This window comes from Homo sapiens, chromosome 18 (assembly GCF_000001405.40).
Source record: "Homo sapiens chromosome 18, GRCh38.p14 Primary Assembly".
NCBI lineage: Eukaryota > Metazoa > Chordata > Mammalia > Primates > Hominidae > Homo > Homo sapiens.
Genome location: NC_000018.10, coordinates 27947782 through 27968335, shown reverse-complemented (window position 1 = coordinate 27968335; position 20554 = coordinate 27947782). Strand labels below are relative to the sequence as shown.

At 36.6% G+C, this 20554-nt stretch overlaps 1 protein-coding gene and 1 long non-coding RNA gene across 5 annotated transcripts in view; one reads left to right on the top strand and one right to left on the bottom strand.

The window, feature by feature from the left end:
- Window positions 1-20554, top strand: part of CDH2 (cadherin 2) — a 244252-nt gene that overhangs the window by 208795 nt on the left and 14903 nt on the right. For 3 of the 4 annotated variants that reach the window (NM_001792.5, XM_011525788.1, NM_001308176.2), the window contains 2 exons: window positions 4815-4979; window positions 15977-17370. In NM_001792.5, the coding sequence (NP_001783.2) occupies window positions 4815-4979; window positions 15977-16183 (372 nt within the window). In that variant the 3' untranslated portion in view covers window positions 16184-17370. Of the gene's footprint in view, window positions 1-4814; window positions 4980-15976; window positions 17371-20554 lie in introns of those variants that run through there. The other variant, XM_017025514.3, reaches the window with a different exon arrangement.
- Window positions 4644-20554, bottom strand: part of CDH2-AS1 (CDH2 antisense RNA 1) — a 42099-nt gene continuing 26188 nt past the window's right edge. Inside the window, exons 2-4 of the long non-coding RNA NR_199051.1 lie at window positions 13709-13818; window positions 8793-8821; window positions 4644-4950 (exon numbers count right to left, since the gene is read on the bottom strand). This is a non-coding gene — a long non-coding RNA (CDH2 antisense RNA 1). The remainder of the gene's footprint in view (window positions 4951-8792; window positions 8822-13708; window positions 13819-20554) is intronic.

Here is a 20554-nt window from a genome sequence, read left to right as displayed (position 1 = left end):
CTTTTTGATTATTTATTTTGCTTGCCCTGGTGGGCTCTGTGTTATCTTTTGACGTGCTTAAGTGAGTCTGTGACCTTGGTCAAATCATTAACCTCCCTGAGCTGTGGTAATCAATAGAGTGGGAACAATAACACCCACTTAGAAGGGTTTTTGTTTGTATTAATGCAATACCACATGAGAAAGCACCTAATGTAATTCTTGACAGATGATGAGCACCAGATAAAGGTTGCTTGCTTGCTTTCTTGCTCTCTGACCTGAAAATGGCATCTGGCACCCAGTAGACATTCCATAAATACTGGTGGAATGGTAAATGAGTGAGTGTTTGCATTACTCCCTGAAATGGGTTGACTATACAATTCTGTAGATTCTACATGCAATGTAGTTTTTGGAAGTATTTGCCTGGGATTCCAGAATTTCAATTTATACTGATGCAACATTTTATTTTATTGTAGCATAACCAAATGCTCTGAGTTAAACTCGTTGTATCATTTTCCAAACTAATTATAAATCATTGCAAGTCATGCTAACTTCTTACTAACTCCCCCAGAACTATATCGCCCTTAAGACATTTTAAATCATAGACCAAAAAAAAATTTAAGTTACTTGCAGTGTTAATATTCTCAAAACCCAAATTCCATGCCTACTTTTAATGATGATTGCCAATTAACACATATTCCAAACATTAAAATGAAGTAAAAAAGAGATTTTCCTTGGCCTTTGTTTGAAAATTGAATTTCTTTGGGAAGTTAACATTGTAAAGGTTGGCAATCATAAGAGAATTTTCGGACCCACTCTTTGAGTTTTAGGAGCCAAATAAAGATGTCTTTTTGGATTGTTTATAATCTTCAGGAGTAAGGCCATGAACCCAATGACGTTGAGAAGATTTTTGGTCTTTGTAATTCTCTTTATAATTCTCATCCTACATGTTGTCATTTGTGTGTTTATGTACATCATTATGGGATTGTAAAGATGTATAATTAGGGAGCGTTTTTTATCAAAAGGTCTAAAATTAGACTCTCAGTTCAGGACTTTTGCCATACAACACAGATAGACGTCAACAGAAGAGCCCACCCTGTGGCCGGAGGATACTTCCACACGCTGCCTGCCATCATCAGATTTTTATGTCCCATATTTGCAGTAGATAAGGAGAAGCCATCACAGAGACACTCTAAGCCATGTATTTTAACCTTGTGTCTAACTTCCTGTAAACCAGTGATTTTTTGCCTCTTTGTGGACACCATCACCGTGGAGGAATTTAACAGGCTTCCATCATTATGGGGTGATTCACCATGGCAATGATTCTCAGCAATGGGACCAGGAGGTCTTTCTCTCCCGTCTCATCATAAATTATTACTATAGTGTATAATGTGATCCAAGTCACATTTCTTGAATTAGCTGCTCCTTTGATATCTGGCATAAGTATCATCACTGAGATTATGTTCAACACTTTTTTTTTAGTGGGAACTTTCTATAAGCCTGAAACATTGATGGTCCAAAGGTCTAAGCAAGACCACCGAAGTTTTAAGACTCTTCCTGCTCTCTGGTTCTTAAGATAGTAGGAAAAAGCTATCAAAAGAAAGATAAAGAACTGTAAATTATTTGCTATTATGTAAGTATGTTATATACACATTCATCTATGAAGCAGGTTAGGAGGCTATCCTTTCCTTGTCCAGAGGGGACAACTGCTCTCAGCTGTAGCAAATTGTTGTCAGAATGTAAGATCTCTTTTGCCAGATCTTGTTATTCTCAGGTGAGATACACCTATGTCTAAATGTTGGTGACCTATTTGAATATATTTAAAAGTCTGCTAGCCAATCAAAATGCAATTTTATTTGCAGCCTCTGGATACAGTTGGAGTTATAGAAGAAGTCAGAGTAGAATGGCTCTTCCCAGATAGGGAGTAGCATGAGCAAAGCCCACATGCCTCTTTTATCTCCAGTTATATGAACGAAATTCCTCTATATTCTTATATTTGTCACCCTGAGCTATTATGTAATATATCCAGGAGTATCAAAGAATATGTCACCAGGTAAAAGACAGTGCTTAAACATAAGATTCAATTACCTTTTTGTGTGTAATTTAGACTTCTAATAAAACATTTTTCACCCTTAGGGTAAAAACATTTATTCACTGTCATCAATATACTTGCCATCTATTTTCCCCCATTTTAAGGACAGCTTTGGTAATTGAATAAGAATGCATACTTATTCATAGTTCACCCCACTCTGTTGTGCTTGGTAGTTATACAATTAAACATGGCCTGGAAAAAACATATTTTATTTTTTAGTGTGAAAGCATTAAAATTTCTCTGAATAAATCTTTTTTTTTTTTTTTTTTTTTTTTTTCCTTTTAGACAGAGTCTTTCTGTCGCCCGGGCTGGAGTACAGTGATGCGATCTTGTCTCACTGCAACTTTCACCTCCCGAGTTCAAGCGATTCTCCTGCCTCAGCCTCCCAAATAAATATCTGGGACTACAGGCGCCCACCACCACATCCGGCTGATTTTTGTATTTTTTAGTAGAGATGGGGTTTCACCATATTGGCCAGGCTGGTCTTGAACTCCTGACCTTATGATCTACCCGCCTTGGCCTCCCAAAGTGCAGGGGACTAAATCCCTCTTTTTGTCGTGTATAGCATTTTAACAGTTCAAGGACTTTCACATCTGTTGCATCATTGAGGGCCTTTTCTGAGATATTCCGTAAATAACTCAAATTCTATAAAATTGAAAATGGAGCACATTTGTGCAAGATCAAGGTGTTTTTTCTCAAGTTTTGTATGGATGATTTGAAATACTCCATCTTGACAAGAGAAAGCAGCATTCTGATGCCTTTGCTCCTGCTGTGGACTCTCCCAAAATGGCGCTTTGTCGCCAGCCCATAGATGGTTCAGAGCTAAAGCTGATTTCCCCCTGAACATTTTATAGTTTGTGATACACCAAATGTACATCCCACTCTGGCGGGTTCGAAGTCTCTATACCTACCTCGCTTTCCGCATCACATTGCACACACCTAAGAGGAGGAGCTTTTCCATCAGCGTATGTATGTGAGTGCCTTCACCTGCCAGCTGAAGTTCTTGATAAGGAAATATTCAGGGAGAGTGTTGCCAGGATCAGAGTATCTCAATTAGCATAAATTTTAAATCAGGTGCTATGAAGTCAGACACTCATGGTTTTGATTCTCATTTTAGTCATATACTAGCTGTGTGACCTTGGGCAAGTTACTCAACCTGTTTCTCCACCTAAAGAGATGATGATAAAACATTTTTCATGGGTTTCTTAGGCACCATTGATAGTGAGAAAACACTTATCAAGAGTCTGGTATAGTGCCTGACCCACAGTGAGTATGAAGTTACTGACCTTTTCCTTCCCTTTGTCTCCTTGTTATTTTAAGCATTCCTCACATTCCTGTCCCTCCAAGCTCAAGCTCGTTTATCTAGTTCCTTACCTTTAAATCCAACCTTGTAACTCAGTCTTGATTTACTCATAGATGATTGTGAAGAGAGCCAGGCTTTGGAATCTAATACACTTGGAGTCAGAATCCTTTTCTTAATAGATCTGGGACCATATGCGACTTACTTGGGTTATTTGAAACTCAGTTTTCTCATCTCTTAAGTGGGGATAATAAAACTTAGTATCACATGTACTAAGAGGATCAAATGAGTGAACATATGTAAGACACCTAGACCATTGCCAAAACATGGTAAACGTTAAACAACTGTCGAATAAATCAAAATCACTCTAGAGATAACTGCAAAAGGTTTTAAAAGCTAGTTTCAGACAGAGAGATGAAGCCTGAACTAAGAAAAGCATAACTACATCTATGCTTGCTGCAAATGTCAGTTTTGAATTGAAAGAATGTTGGGTAAGCTTGGGGATATGATATTTTGTATCACCAGAATTCAGAGGTTTGAATACTACCAACTATTTGCCCAAACCTTAAATGTGGATTATTTCCACATTGTAGTCTCTTTCTTTATACATTCCTGTCCAGATGTCTGAGCTAAAAATAGTTCTGAGGGCCCAACCTATGGCCAGAGCATCCTTCTTCACAAGTTGTACTTTGCCTCTCTGAAAGCGGACAGATTGTTTTTCCAGGACATTCCCACAGGGCAGCATTGGAAGAAAATCCACCCTCTCTCTGGTCTACCACCACTAAACCAGAGGTCAGCAAACTTTTCCTCAGTAGGGCCAGATAGTAAATAATTTAGGTTTTGTGGGCCACATATATTCCCTGTAGCACATTTTTCTTTGTCGTTTGTATTTTAAGTAACTTTTTAAAAATGTAAAAGCTAATCTTAGAGAAAAATAGGCCATAGGTCACACTGGGCCCAGAGATCATAGTTTTCTGACCTCTGCTCTAGAGTTTAGAAGGGAGAGAGAGAAGGAAGAAGGGTGGCTTGAAACCTTCATGAACTAATGCCTTCCTTTAGGGAAAAGGAAGAATAACCACCCTCGTTTTAAAAAAATATTAAAGACATGAAGTTAGCACCTTTGCTTGTATGGTACAACTATATTGTCTAGTCGGTTTTTTAGTTGTTTTATAGTGAGACCTCATCACACTGCTGTTTTTCATTGGAAACTGATGAGGAACATTGTAAAGCAGATGGAGCACAGACTGTAGAAATGAAAAGCACAGAAGAAAGAGCTGTGTGAAAGAAATATTTAATCATAACATGAAAAACTCATAGTGGCAACTTTTCCATTATGTTAAATTTTCCTCATTTCTATGTGTTCTGAGTATGTGCTTAAAAAGCGAGGTTGTAATTTTCTATCTTTGTGCCCATCTCCCATCGGTTTTTGATTTTGTCTTTTTGCAGGACTATGACTTGAGCCAGCTGCAGCAGCCTGACACTGTGGAGCCTGATGCCATCAAGCCTGTGGGAATCCGACGAATGGATGAAAGACCCATCCACGCCGAGCCCCAGTATCCGGTCCGATCTGCAGCCCCACACCCTGGAGACATTGGGGACTTCATTAATGAGGTACAGAGAGACACTCGTTTTCTCTATAAGAGTTTTCATTTCATGCTAATGGTTAGATCTCTGTAGGCCACAAATTGCTTGGAATACAGCTATATAGTTCACTAAAACATACTTGTGTTTCTGAAGTTCATCTTGTGTGAAAGCAAATGTGGCTTCATTAACAACAAATGTAATTGCTTTGATCAACCAAAAAGAGATCTATCAATTAAGATTCTGCATTTGTAAAATGACATACATCATATATTATCAGAATTAGTCACACTGTCTCCGAGAAGGATTTTTTTTCCTAGATTACAAGTAATAAATAGACTAACAATATTATAGTGCATTCTAATTTCATTTATTAGCATTAATAAATGTAGCAGTAGTTCACTTTAATTTTCCTCACACTGTACCCTTTGAATCCCACAAATCGTGAGAATTCAGTGCCTGCCCAATGACTCCATCAAAAGAGATTAGTTGGAAGAGCTAAATTAAATATTATGTAAGTGATTTAAGGACTTGTCTAGTTGAGGAGTTTTAAGAGCTTCTGTAAAAGGAAGCTATTTCTCTGTTGCATATAACAGATATGATTTTCACTGTCAAAATTATTATGACATTCTTTATTACTGACCAAGAGTTCTGTTACATTTAAGTTTTGAAGTTCAATGATTTGTGCTGCTGCTTCTGATCATGTCTGTAGTCTTACTGTAATTCTTTTGAATTTGTATTGTGAATGTAAGAGAACACTACATATTGATGTTGACTGTGAATATATGGCAGAACTCCTGTTTTCTGGTCATATCATTGGTGTCTCCAAGATCAGAATAGGTCTCAGTGCATTACAAAGTGGAATGCATCTGTTGGATATGGCCTTCAGTCATAGGCTGATAAGACTCTTGTATCCTGGGCTTCCTCAAAATTCATATAATATTAAACATAATCTACATTAGGTTTTTAGATATACTTATTGCTTGTAGAAAAAGTTTTAAAACAAAATTGGAATAGTTGCCTGTCTCTATAACTATCCATTACTGTCTGTTCCTAAAATATATGCTGCCTTTCTGAACATATGTATTCATTTCTGCTAAATAGGTAATAAGGTTAATTTGTAGTTGACATGATTTAAAAACACATGGAAAGCAAAAACAACAGAATGCCAGTAACTCCCTTTATCCACAGAAATATGTCCTGACTTTGCCAGCTCTTAGTTATATATAGATCCAGTTAGGAGAATTTGCAGAAATTTATACATATATGCCTAGATCTTTTAGAAAAATGTAAGAGTGCCTGATGATTTTATTTCTAATTTCATGTTTGTCATCATAAGAAATTGTTGAGTTATTCTGATGGTTGTCAATTCAAGTTATAGTGAATCTTCTGACTGTAGGTTTAGGAACTGGACCTTACAATTTTTTTTTAATTTTTTTTGGTTTTTGTAGAGACAGGGTCTCACCAGCCTGTTTCCCAGGCTGGTCTTGAATTCTTGGGCTCAAATGATCCTCCTGCCTCAGACTCCCAATGTGCTGGGATTACAGGCCTGAGCCACTGTGCCCAGCTGGAACCATACTTTTTTGAAGCCAGAATTCTAGCTTAAGTATAATTTAACAAATCCTTACTAAATATTTCTGCCTGTCCCTGAAGTACCAGTGTTCTGTGGATTTCATTCCATCCCTGATACTCTTCTTTTCTCAGTGCTAAAGATCAAACAAACAGTAAGGTTTATTTATAAAGGCTATTCCTCATCTGATTCCTGCCTTCTTCTACCCCTCACGTCCCCACATTCCCTTTCTGTGCTGCAGCCCCACTGAACTATTTGCAGTTCCTCAAAAGCATCAACACTTTTGAATATACTGTAACTTCGGCAAAGCCCTTAACCTAATTGTCCATCTGCAGGACTGCCACTTCGCCTTCAGGATTCAGCCAAAACATTTCTCTGTGAGGCCTTCCTTGATGCCTGTGGGAAGGGATAACAAGTTGCCCCTCGGGTCATAGCCCTCACCAGCTGGGGTGTAACTGTCAGTATTTCTTTCTCCCACTCAGTATGTGAGTTATCTCCAGGACAAGCGCTATTTCTTGTTCATGTTTTTATAACTTAAACATCTAGTATGTTACCTAGCTCTTAGATTTTTGTCATTTTCAGGCATTCAAGTATGCACCCTGGCAAATGTGTAGGGCATGATGCTATTGGGCACCACCCACTTTACATCTGATTGAGATTCAATGGATACTGAGTCTAGAGCCTTTCATCCTACTTGTCAGATTACATTCAAATTCTGAGTTTATGTTTGAGTGTGTGTTTGTTTGTGTGTGTGTGTCTATGTCTATGGTCATTGATTTTTTTTTTGTTCTTTTTTTAACAATGACTATCTCTTCTTCAGTAGACATCTAGTCAATAAGTTTCACTTACCCAACCCTTCTCGGCCACAGTAGGAGTTACAGTAGGAATTTCCATTTGGAATTTTCTTTCTCCTAAACAGTGCTCAGGTATACAGTTTATTATGGCTGGAGACCATTAACAAACAGGTATGATTACTTATATGAAAAACCGTCTTCCAAACAACTGACTGCAAATTGACTTCCAGAATACAATCTCTTCCTAATTTGAAGATTATCTGCATATGTGAAAAATGTCTCATTGTGAAACCATCTTGAGCTCAATGTAAGATCATCCATTCAGCAAATCACTATTGAACATCCATGTGTGTAACATAACTGTGCAAGTAATATATAGATAAAAGCATAAATTAGACATCGATTCTCTTTGTGTGTATACCCTACTTTGTTGCTAGCACGATATTTGTGCAATGCAAATGTGCCAGTATCCGAAGCCTTATTTGCCAGGCATAGGAGGCCATTTGTGTCTGGTTCTTATTTGGCTTTCCAACTTCATCTCAAGGCCCTCACCACCCAGCATCTTGCAGGCTATCTACAGAGAACTCTACTTGTCATTTACAATCTCAGCTTACAATTTCATGCTGGTGCCCATCTACAAGATGTTCTTCCTGTCTAGAATTCCTTTCCCATTTTTCTAGCGTTGGGTGAAATTCATTAAGTATTTACCAACCCAGGAAGGGTCAGGCATACAGAGTATGGGTTAGACACCATCCACTGGCATCCCATGGTACCCAGAACTCACCTCCCTCAGATCACAGATCCCATGGTTCCATCCTGCCTCCCCCTGATCCATGTTCCAGGGGAGGGGAGACAGGCTTCTCCCTGGAGGGGCCAGTATGGGGCACAGTGATTTGGTGAACCAAGTGAATGGATGAAAGGATCCAATTTGGAAATTATTCTGAAAATGGCAACTAAATCCACGAGTGTGTGTTTGTGTGTGTGTGTGTGTGTGTGTGTGTGTTTTAAGAGACAGGGTCTCTCTCTGTTGCTCAGGCTGGAGTGCAGTGGCACAATCATAACAAACTGCAGCCTCAGCCTCCTGGGGTCAAGCCATCCTCCATCCTCAACCTTCCAAAGCGCTGGGATTACAGGTGTGAGCCACCACACCTGGCCTAAATCCATGAATTCGAATATAATTACAAGATAGAGAAATGTGAAGGAGAGGAGCAATCAAATATCTTCAGCTAGAAATGCCCCTAGAGTTGGAGACAGAAAATCTAAGGAGGTAGGTATAATAGAAAACAATCAAAACGATAGTTTTAAGGAGATGATGGTCAGTTCTGTGGGACTTTTAAGGGAGATGAAAGTCTAATGTAAGTCAGAAGGCCTAAGCCAGTAATAACTCTCCAAAATACCATCTAGACTCTTTCATCCAAGATAACTGTTAAGACTTGTTCAGTGTCTTCATTTACTGGACAGACAAAAATGAATACTTACTTGTAGAGTTTTAAAACAGTTGAAAGCACCTAGAAAGAAAGAAAAGCACATTTTATAAAAATATTTAAAAGGCACACAAATTTATTTATCTGCAGGTCTTATTTGATTTAGCAGAGCACCAAATGTTCCAAAGGAAGAATAATATAGTGGTGATTATAATTGGAGTGCTTTTATAGATGTAAGGAATAAGAAAGCTCATGAGAACATTTTCTAGTTTGTTTATTTAAATAAGGAATGAATGTTGCCTTGAATCTCAAAAATGATAACTTATTTCCAGTCTGGTAGGCAGAGTAAAATAAGTCACATGTTTTTGAATTTCAACTGAGAGTTTCATTCTGTTTTGAATTTTTAAACATGACCTTCAGGGAGTGAAAAGTTCAAACAAATTCATTTAATCTCAGCCCAACAGTTAGATATTAATATACCTCCAATAATTTTACTAATACTAATCCTGTGTATTTCTTTGTAAAAAGAAATAAACTTCTTTATATATATACGTGTATTTTTCTGTTTTCACGCTGCTATGAAAAACTGCCAAGCCTGAGTGATTTACAAAGGAAAGAGGTTTAATCAACTCACATTTCCACAGGGCTGGGAAAGCCTCAGGAAACTTACAATCTTGCCAGAAGGGAAGGCAAACACATTCTTCTTCACATGGCAGCAGGAGAGAGAAGTACTGAGCAAAGGGAGAAAAGCCCCTTACAAAACCATCAGATCTCATGAGAACGCACTATCGTGAGAGCGGCAGCATAGGGGTAACCGTCCCCATGATTCAATTACCTCCCACCGGGTCCCTCTCACAACCTGTGGGGATTATGGGAAATATGGAACTACAATTCAAGATGAGATTTGGGTGGGGACAAAGTCAAACCGTATCATTGTGTGTGCACACACGCACATATACACATATATCACATATACACATATATACATATATAAATATACACTTATTTATATATGTGTATATACAAATATACACATATATAAATATACACGTATTTATATATGTGTATATACAAATATACACATATATACATATATAAATATGTATATTTGTAGATACAAACATACATATATAAAGAGATTTTTATTATGTGTGTATATATGTATTCATTAGTATATGAAGTATATTTCTCTACTCAAAAGTATAAAAACCAAGTGAATAATTCTGTTAAAAGACCACCTTTTCATTAATATTGTTTAAAACTTATGGAAGCTTCTTACAACTTGCTTGAAACTACTAAAGTTTAAAATGCTTGTCTTTTTCTCCTATTAATTAATTTTAATTTCTGTTTTTTAAAATATCTCATTATGGTCTTATAGAAGTTGGGCATTTGTGTAAGTTCAAATCTAGCCATCCCACCTAACAGCTCTGTTACCTTGTTACAAGGTCAAGATCCTTGCCTTTAACCTTTTCAGTTTTCTTATTTGTAAAATGGGAATAGTAATAGAACCTCCTTTTAAGATTGCGTGAGAACTAAACGAGATTATCTTTGTAATGTGCTTCATATAGTGCTTGTCACATAGTAAAAATCTCTTAATTATTATTGGTGTCATATTAGTAACTATTACAGGTAAATTACCTTTTAGGAGTAAAAGATTTTCTGCTGTTCTCTAATTGTAAGAAAACAATTAAAATCCACTCCTTCTGCATCAAAAATTGCTTTAAGTAAAATGAAATTCCCAGAAAGAGGGGTAGTAATGTTGGCCTTGATATGTTCAGTTCTACTGTAATGTAAGTATGGTGTACTTTTATATCCACATATGTCTTAAATCTAGATTCTAGCTGTTTCTGAAAGGAATGGATATAAATATGAAGAGGATGCTGAGCAGGAAAAACTACGCCCAGGACAACAATGCATAGTTACCTTATAGAATACCTGTTGAATGTCAGGCAGTGTGTTGGACAGTGAGATGTGAATACAAAACAGCCTCTGTAGAAAGGGATGTCACAATCTAGTGTCATCCAAACAAGATGATAAAAGTAGATGAGGCCGGGCACAGCAGCTCACACCTGTAATCCCAGCACTTTGGGAGGCTCAGGCAGGCAGATCGCTTGAGCCTAGGAGTTTGAGACCGACTTCAGCAACCTGATAAAAAAACCCTCTATACAAAAAAAAACAAAAATTAGCCGAGCATGGTGGCAGGCATCTGTAGTCCTAGCTACTCTGGAGGCTGAGGTGGGAGGATCACCTGAGCCCAGGAAGGTCAAGGCTGCAGTGAGCCATGATTGTGCCACTGCACTACAGTCTGGAGTACAGAGTGAGACCCTGTCTCTAAAAATAAAAAATAAAAAAGTAGAAGGGACCAGAGAGACCACAGGAATGACTCCTAAGTCATGGTTGGGGAAAAAAGATCTGTGCAGTCGAAGTGATATTTTTAATGAGCTTTTGGATGGATGGATGGATGGGATGGATGGATATTAATCAGATAAAAAATATAAGAAGTATAATTCTAAAAAAAATGAATAAACAACATAGAAGTGCACAAGAACATGATGCTTTGGGGTTTGGGGGGATTCCCTTTGGGGGTGCATAATTCAGTCGTGGTTGCTGGAGCTGAGAATAGCTGAAACAGAAAAGGTGGGTAAACAGTCTTGGTTCACTGAATGCTTTCTAAAGAGTTTTACTGTATGCTGTAGGTTACCCAACAGCAGGCATTTGAGTTAACACCTTCCAGTTTTTTCCCTCTCTGTGTACTTCTTGTTATTTTCTTAAACTGTTCATCAATTTTTAAGTTAATTTTCTTAAATAATTGTTTTAAAGTGTTCATGCACCAATTAAAAATCATTTTGCCCATTGTCGGGGGAACTCTTTCATTTGGAAGGAGTCATAGAGAGCAGTCAGAGGTCTTACTTGCGGGAGTGATATCAAATAACGTTTGAGACAGAAACCAATAGTTTGTAGGAAAGAAGCTGGAACAGTGCTGGAGACAGGCGAAGACCAGTTAGGCAGGCTTTTTCTCTGGTCCAGGCAAGATATAATGATGACCTCCACTAAAGCAGTGGCACTAGGACTGTAGAAGACAGAATGTAAAGGAAACAGTAAGACCTCTTTTCTTTTACATCCCTCATGTGTTCCTCGCTGGATAATGTGGGTTTTTATCCTCATAAAAGCATGTCTCCGCCCATAAAGCCTGGGATCAGAAGTCTATAAATACAAGCTCAGCAAGAATTCAGCCAGAGCCAAGCTCTCTCACTCTGCAGAGAAGCCTCAGTCTTTAGAAGACAGTTCAGCTTTATCCAGAATTCAAGATCTACCTCTCCAGGAAAGGTGGAACAAGAGGATACTTTGCTAAATTTAGTCAAACCTAGAGAAACACAGGCGTTTAGTTTGTAAATTTGGTAACAGTACATCCTGTGAAATAATGTTCATATCCAAGAATAAAGGAATCCCATAAGGGAGAACCAGAAGGTTCTGTTGCCCACTGGATTTCTTCTGTACATTCACTCAGATTTCGTGCCTGTTACTGTCAGTTTCTTAGGACTTCAGTGCGATCTTTTTAGAATTACCAAAATATTACCAAGAGTTTATATAATACCTCGTTCAGAAGAGTCATATTTTATTCTCAGATAAAAATCAGTGCTATCCAAATGGAAGGGATTTAAAGTACTTAACCTGCATAGAAAGCTGGCTTGTCTAAGAACTCTTGAAAAGTTCAGTGATTTTGCCCTTTTGTAATTATTAAAACATAAGGCAATGTGCCGTGCTCTAGCATAGCACAGTGGTCTCTCTCTAATGGATTTTATGGCCTTAACCTCTTTAAAAAAAAAAAAAAAAAAACAGAAATAAAGAAAACAGAGATTTGTAAACTACCAGGATGATCAGAAAGCCAGGGCAGGAGCTAAAAAATAAAGAAAATAATATTTTTTAGACTCTCAATAGTGGATATGGGAGTTGATTATCACAAGCATTATATTTATTTTAAGGAATTGAATTAGGTGGCTTAGTCATTTGATGAAGAGTCCTGGGGTCCGTGAACACACCAGGGAAGACCAGACCCCTTCTTGTGTTTATTCCCTGGACATAGTAAACACAGGCCATCCCTTTTTTCTCCTCCAAATTCAGACACACTTGAGGCCTTGCCATTGACCCTTTCGGGCTAATTTGAGTCTTTTTTTTTTTTTTTAACTTGTCATTCTCTTTTTCTTTCTTTTTCTTTTTTTTTTTTTTTTACTATTATACTTTAAATTCTGAGATACATGTGCGGAATGTGCAGGTTTATTACATAGGTATACACGTGCCATGGTGGTTTGCTGCATCCATCAACCCATCATCTACATTAGGTATTTCTCCTAATGCTATCCCTAATTTGAGTCTTGACCTCTCCATATTTCCAGTTTGGTGTTGACATCATAAGGATTGGGCCAGGGCTCTGTGTGTATTTTCGCTTAATAATTAAATTGTGGTAAAGCAGATGACCTGAACAAAGTGATCTTAGCCATTGTCTCTGTTGTCTGTATTATAAAGCAATTGTCATAATGAAAATTTAATATTTGTTTTCAGGGACCCATTCTCCTTATCAGGAATTTCCCTGATTTTTCTTGTTTTTTCTTCAGATCCTTCTTGGGCCTACTTGTATGACCCCAAGTCAGACAATGCTGAACTAAGGCAATCCGCTGTTGGTTAAATTTGCAGTTGCTAGATCTTGTAGGGAAGAGGAGTGTAGGCTAATATGTGAATATTAACTCCACGAGGGCAGCCATTGGATCTAGCTCATTAGTAGCTGTGTCTCTACCAGTTAGCAGAATACATTGCAATAATATTAATAGATAATCAACAAATACATCTTGAATCTAATGAATAAACACAAACAAAATGAATGAAGGTGCATTCTTCGGCTTTTGTTAGCTAAGGTACCAATCACTGACCACTCCAAAATATTGCTGCTTATAATAATGAAGGTTTACTTCTTACTTAAGTTGTAAGTCAGCTGTAGTCTGTCAGTGACTCAGTTCCTGATCCATATGTCGTCTTCGTTTCAGGATCCAGGCAGATAAACTTCCCATCTGGAGCAGGCCATTCTCCTGGCAGAGGGGGAAAGGGGGATTAGTGGAAGGGTGGAAACACATTAGATAGAGTTCTTGAAGCGGGTACTTTTCACAGCTACTTACATTGCATTGGCCAAAGCCAGTCAGACAGCCAAGCCTTACAGTGTGGTTGGGAAAGTAAACCCTGACCCCAGAGAGGCTCTGTGGGAGTGTGGGTGTGTGTTCTGCCTTCAGAAAAAGAGCAGTGAATCACTGAGGGCAGTAACACAATCTACCACAGAAGGGAGTTACAAGTTTTGAGAAATTGTAGGTTGTGGTTCTCAGTCTTAGCAGAATTGCCTTGTAGCTTAGTCTAAAAATAAGATAAAATCCTATCTAAAGTTATTTATGTTGTATATATCAAAGTATTTTGCTGAAACCTGCTTTATTTTATTTTACACAGGCTTTTCTGGAGTATAAACAGTATAAAATGACATGACGAAAAGTAGTAAAGTACTGCTAAATTTCATGGATTGTTAGTAAAGAGGTACCTGGAGATGAGAAAACTGGTCATGTGTACTTTTTTCTCTGATTTTTGACGTGAGTCAAGCAGCTGCCATTTTGTTTCTTAAAATATATCTTCATCGTTTCTTATTTTTTCAAATCCCAAGGCAGGACATTTTTCTCAAAACTTAAATTTTTTAAAAATACTAACTAATATTCATTGAGCTCTACATGTGCCAGTCACTGTGGTGAGACCTCGGGTCCCTTTATTGCATTTGGTCTTTATAATAGTCCTATTATTATGATTACAGTTGTAGATGAGGTTAAGCGGAGGTCCCACAGCTAGTACTGGGGAGAGCTAAGGTGTCATCTCACAGTCTGATCTCTTAACCACTACACCATACTGATTCTGACCTTAATTTTTTTGCTCTTCTTCCCTGTTTCTCCTTTGTAACCTTGAAAGGATAGGTGAACACATGCTCATAAAAACCCATGTATGCGCTCATAAAATGCATGTGTATTGGCAGGCTTGATCTCTCAAGGGTAGGACTGTCTGTGACACATCTTAGATAGGTGAGGCCATATAAGCCAACTAGCATTTGACAAGTAGAGTGTGGAAAAAGCAAACGATTGTTTGGAGACTAATGTTAGTGTATCTAGGAGTACTAGAATGGAATTGGGGGAAAAAATTAAGTAGAAAATATACCAGAGGACCTAATACTAAATCCTTAGAAGTTTTGCAGAGCATAGAGACTCTAATTGTATATTAAAAAGCATCTGCTTACAAAAGTTACAAATATAGATAGTAGTTATTTCCTTGTTTCTTTTTTCTTAAAATTCTTTATAAGAACCAGATAACGCATGTTATTTTAGATTGACAGGAGTCCTCCTCTTTTCAATATTTATACCGTGTACAGATATTGGATTATGACATTTCTAGGATTTTTTGGAAGTTAGAAGATACCCTATTTTTTAAAATACCAGTTTACAATTAATTAATTCCACATTTTATGCTATGTTAGTCACATAAATGATTTTCTGAGTACCTCCCTTTATGTAGTAATCACATCTGACCTGTCTTCAGTCTTCCTTTGATGTCCTTCCAAAATGAGGTCAAATACAATGCTACTTTCTCTTTGAACTCCTAGCTCTTAATGCTGATGTGAATTTTTTTCCCCCACAACCTGATGGCTTTTGCTTTGACTTCATAGTTTTGTCACTTGTCATTTGCTTCACACAGTAGTAATACCTGTTATGCTAGACTGTAAGCCTGTGGAGGGACATGGACCACATGGTACTCATTTGTGTGTCTCTTGTATTTCAGTGAGGTGCTTTTTTTAAATTTAATCTAGCAATGCTGCTCTATATATTATGTTATTTAAGATCCTTTCTTCTCTGCCTCAAGCAGGGCCATTCATTTCTGCCACCTGTCCAACTTATTACCCAGTTAACCCCCTCCCTTCATAAGCCTTGGCCTCCCTGAGCTTGACTGCTTAGGGTTGTTTCTTTGCACCGGAAAGATATAAGTTAATTTTTGTCCAACTTTCAAATGGTTATATCTCCCTTTTCCATGTGTTGAAAATATGGTATGTAAATGGAAATTTACAAACAAGTGTTTGTTTGATCCCGTGAATTCATTAGGATCTGCTTGTGGTTTTGTAAAGTGTAACCCTCTCTTAATTCTTTCATTCTTTGTGTTTCCAAATTGCAGGGCCTTAAAGCGGCTGACAATGACCCCACAGCTCCACCATATGACTCCCTGTTAGTGTTTGACTATGAAGGCAGTGGCTCCACTGCTGGGTCCTTGAGCTCCCTTAATTCCTCAAGTAGTGGTGGTGAGCAGGACTATGATTACCTGAACGACTGGGGGCCACGGTTCAAGAAACTTGCTGACATGTATGGTGGAGGTGATGACTGAACTTCAGGGTGAACTTGGTTTTTGGACAAGTACAAACAATTTCAACTGATATTCCCAAAAAGCATTCAGAAGCTAGGCTTTAACTTTGTAGTCTACTAGCACAGTGCTTGCTGGAGGCTTTGGCATAGGCTGCAAACCAATTTGGGCTCAGAGGGAATATCAGTGATCCATACTGTTTGGAAAAACACTGAGCTCAGTTACACTTGAATTTTACAGTACAGAAGCACTGGGATTTTATGTGCCTTTTTGTACCTTTTTCAGATTGGAATTAGTTTTCTGTTTAAGGCTTTAATGGTACTGATTTCTGAAACGATAAGTAAAAGACAAAATATTTTGTGGTGGGAGCAGTAAGTTAAACCATGATATGCTTCAACACGCTTTTGTTACATTGCATTTGCTTTTATTAAAATACAAAATTAAACAAACAAAAAAACTCATGGAGCGATTTTATTATCTTGGGGGATGAGACCATGAGATTGGAAAATGTACATTACTTCTAGTTTTAGACTTTAGTTTGTTTTTTTTTTTTTCACTAAAATCTTAAAACTTACTCAGCTGGTTGCAAATAAAGGGAGTTTTCATATCACCAATTTGTAGCAAAATTGAATTTTTTCATAAACTAGAATGTTAGACACATTTTGGTCTTAATCCATGTACACTTTTTTATTTCTGTATTTTTCCACTTCACTGTAAAAATAGTATGTGTACATAATGTTTTATTGGCATAGTCTATGGAGAAGTGCAGAAACTTCAGAACATGTGTATGTATTATTTGGACTATGGATTCAGGTTTTTTGCATGTTTATATCTTTCGTTATGGATAAAGTATTTACAAAACAGTGACATTTGATTCAATTGTTGAGCTGTAGTTAGAATACTCAATTTTTAATTTTTTTAATTTTTTTATTTTTTATTTTCTTTTTGGTTTGGGGAGGGAGAAAAGTTCTTAGCACAAATGTTTTACATAATTTGTACCAAAAAAAAAAAAAAAGGAAAGGAAAGAAAGGGGTGGCCTGACACTGGTGGCACTACTAAGTGTGTGTTTTTTTAAAAAAAAAATGGAAAAAAAAAAGCTTTTAAACTGGAGAGACTTCTGACAACAGCTTTGCCTCTGTATTGTGTACCAGAATATAAATGATACACCTCTGACCCCAGCGTTCTGAATAAAATGCTAATTTTGGATCTGGTGACTGGTTTGAACTTTTTCTTTTCTACTTGAGCTGCTTTGAATGTTGCAAAAATCCCAAGTACTGGGAACAACAGTACAAAAAGTATGTATTTGTTCTTGCACTATTCACCATTGAAACGCGTAGCATGGCAACCATGTACGGTGTGCAGCAGAGAGAATCATTTTGGACCTTCCCATCATCATAGAAGAAAAACATCAAGTGATTCAGGAATAGACCCTACTGGTGGTGATAGAAAAATCACATCCTTTACCTTCAGTGAACTTCGGTGTTAATTCTTAATATAACTCATGTTTTAATTTGTTTCTGCTCAAGTTAATTGTTCTGTTGACTGACAGGCCTTTCCCATTAGAGCCACCACCATAAGGGAAACTTCAGTAAAGTGGGTTATAGGACTGAACCTGGAAACTGCAGTGGACACCTGGAATTCTTGTGCAATTCATTGAAGCCATCGTTTTATGTACTTAGTGAAACACACTTAGATTTGACTGGCCTTTATCCATTGACTTGATCATTTGCTTCAGTTTGATATAGTAATGGTTGCAGAGGGCAACAAAAGGAAACAGTCTTGCTAAATTTTGTAAAATTGTTTATGTATCTTACTATGATTCATTCTGAATTTTAAGAGGCAAAGGAATTCTCCACTTGTATTTATCTGTTTGTTTCTTAATCATCACACCATATAGTCTTATACTGTACACATTGAAAACACTTATATAATATACCTCCTCTAACTATATTTTTTGCTTAACATAAAGGTTATTTTATATTAGACCGTGAAATTTACTTTTCTATTGATTCACTTTGTAGGCAATACTTTCTTGTTACTTTTCTAATCATTAAATGCCAGAGCTTGCCTCTGGGAATTTCCATAATGAAACTTTTACTAAATTTGCTAATCGGAATAGTCTTTTCTAAAATTGATTCTTAGACTGTGCCTCCATGCTGTTGTACATCCAAATGAAACTATATTTTCAGATTCACACATCATAACACTTAATGCTCACACCATTTAGATAAACACTGTTTAAATGATTTTCTTATGGTTGATGTACAATTCACAGGCCATATCTAGTGTGTATATGTATAAACTTTAAGTGTTTGTAAGGTTTTATATATATACACAATAAATATAAATATTAATTTTTGTAGGCATAATAAACAACTATTTTCTTTGTAAAAACATTCTTTTTATATTAAAAAAACTAGGAAACTAATAAAAAATGGAAACCCGCTGCCATGCTACAGAAGGAACTTCTGTTTAGCTGGTTGATCTAGTTTCTAGTCCTTCCAAAAAGCATTTTTACACACACATGTCCATAATGATTTTCTTTTGTTTTTATGAAAATGAGATTGTACATTATGTATTATTCTGTAAGTTGCCTTTTTTCACTGAGTGTATCTTGGTAATTTTTCCATATTAGTATATATGTACACCTACCTCTTTTTAACTGCTACATATTATTCCATAATATGAACATAATAGTTTTATTGAACCATTTCCTAATTAATTTGTTGTTCCCAATTTTTTTGCTATTAAAAACAATGCCACAGTAAACATCCTTGTGCATGTCTCTTTGCATGGGAATATTTTTCTAGTACTAGTAGAGTCTTGGAGATGGAATTGCTGGATTAAAGAATGTGGAGATAAGTTAAATATGGCTGAAATAATAAATGTTTTAGCATGCTTAAAAGTGCCTTTTAGCTGAAAGAAGACAAGGCTTTCTAAAAGCCAGTAACTTCCTCCTCTGGCAAAAGGATTTTGTGCAGCTCAAAATAGTAACCACAAAATGTAAGACAATCCAGCCAGGGCCGCCTTCTTTTTTCTTTGGAAGTTAGCTTTTGAGTCAGGCCACAATACTAGTTTAAAGTATTCTGTAAAATGACTGTAACCATGTGACGTACTAAAACCTGAAAACTATACATTTATCAACATGGTTTATGGATCCCATCCAGAAACATGTTTTTCTAGGCCATTCCTGGTAATTTGGATCTCTTCTGCAATATTGCTAATAAAAAAACATGCATACAGAGTGTTAGTACCCCTTTGAAATGGTTATTTTCAATGATAAAAGTATGTGTAGTTTAAATTTTAGTAAGACGTTGCCAAATTTCTCTAAAAACTATGCCAATGTACACTCCTACCAGCCTGTGTACAAAAATATATTTACACTCATCCTCAACAGTCCTGGACATCACACACATTTAAAAGTTTTGCCATTATGATAGGCAACAAAAGATACCTCATGTTAACAATTAGACTTTTCTGATTACTAATGAGGGGATTGGAGATTTTTTTCTTATGCTCATTAGCCATTTGTGTTTCTTTGAATTACGTATTTTATTTTCCCTGTTGAGTTATTTGTGTTTTTCTAATTAGAGCTTATATGCATTTTTTCATGATCTTTTGCTAATCTAGTAAATTTTCTTACAGAAATGTATAGCAAGTTTCATTTTTATGTGGTTCTCACTATGTTTGACTAGATTTTTGAGAAGGTCTTAACACCTTTAAATTATAAGATGATTATTCTGTATTGTTCCCATTATTTTGCATTTATCTCTTTAATCCACCTAGAAATGATTTTGTGTGATGCAGAAATCTAACTTTCTAAAACATTTCTAGATAAAGGTCTGTTTTCCAAACACTACTTGTTAAAAACTTCAGTCTAAACCCAACCATGTGGAATGCATTCTTTGCCATATACACACTTATATCACATACACTTATATCACTTATATCTGTTTTCCAAACACCACTTGTTAAAAACTTCAATATAAACCCAACCATGTGGAATGCATTCTTTACCGTATACACACTTATATCAAAGTTATATCACTTATATCTGTTTTCCAAACACCGCTTGTTAAAAACTTCAGTATAAACCCAACCATGTGGAATGCATTCTTTACCGTATACACACTTATATCAAAGTTATATCACTTATATCTGTTTTCCAAACACCGCTTGTTAAAAACTTCAATATAAACCCAACCATGTGGAATGCATTCTTTACCGTATACACACTTATATCAAAGTTATATCACTTATATCTGTTTTCCAAACACTACTTGTTAAAAACTTCAATATAAACCCAACCATGTGGAATGCATTCTTTACCGTATACACACTTATATCACATACACTTATATCACATATACTTACATCACATATACTTATATCACA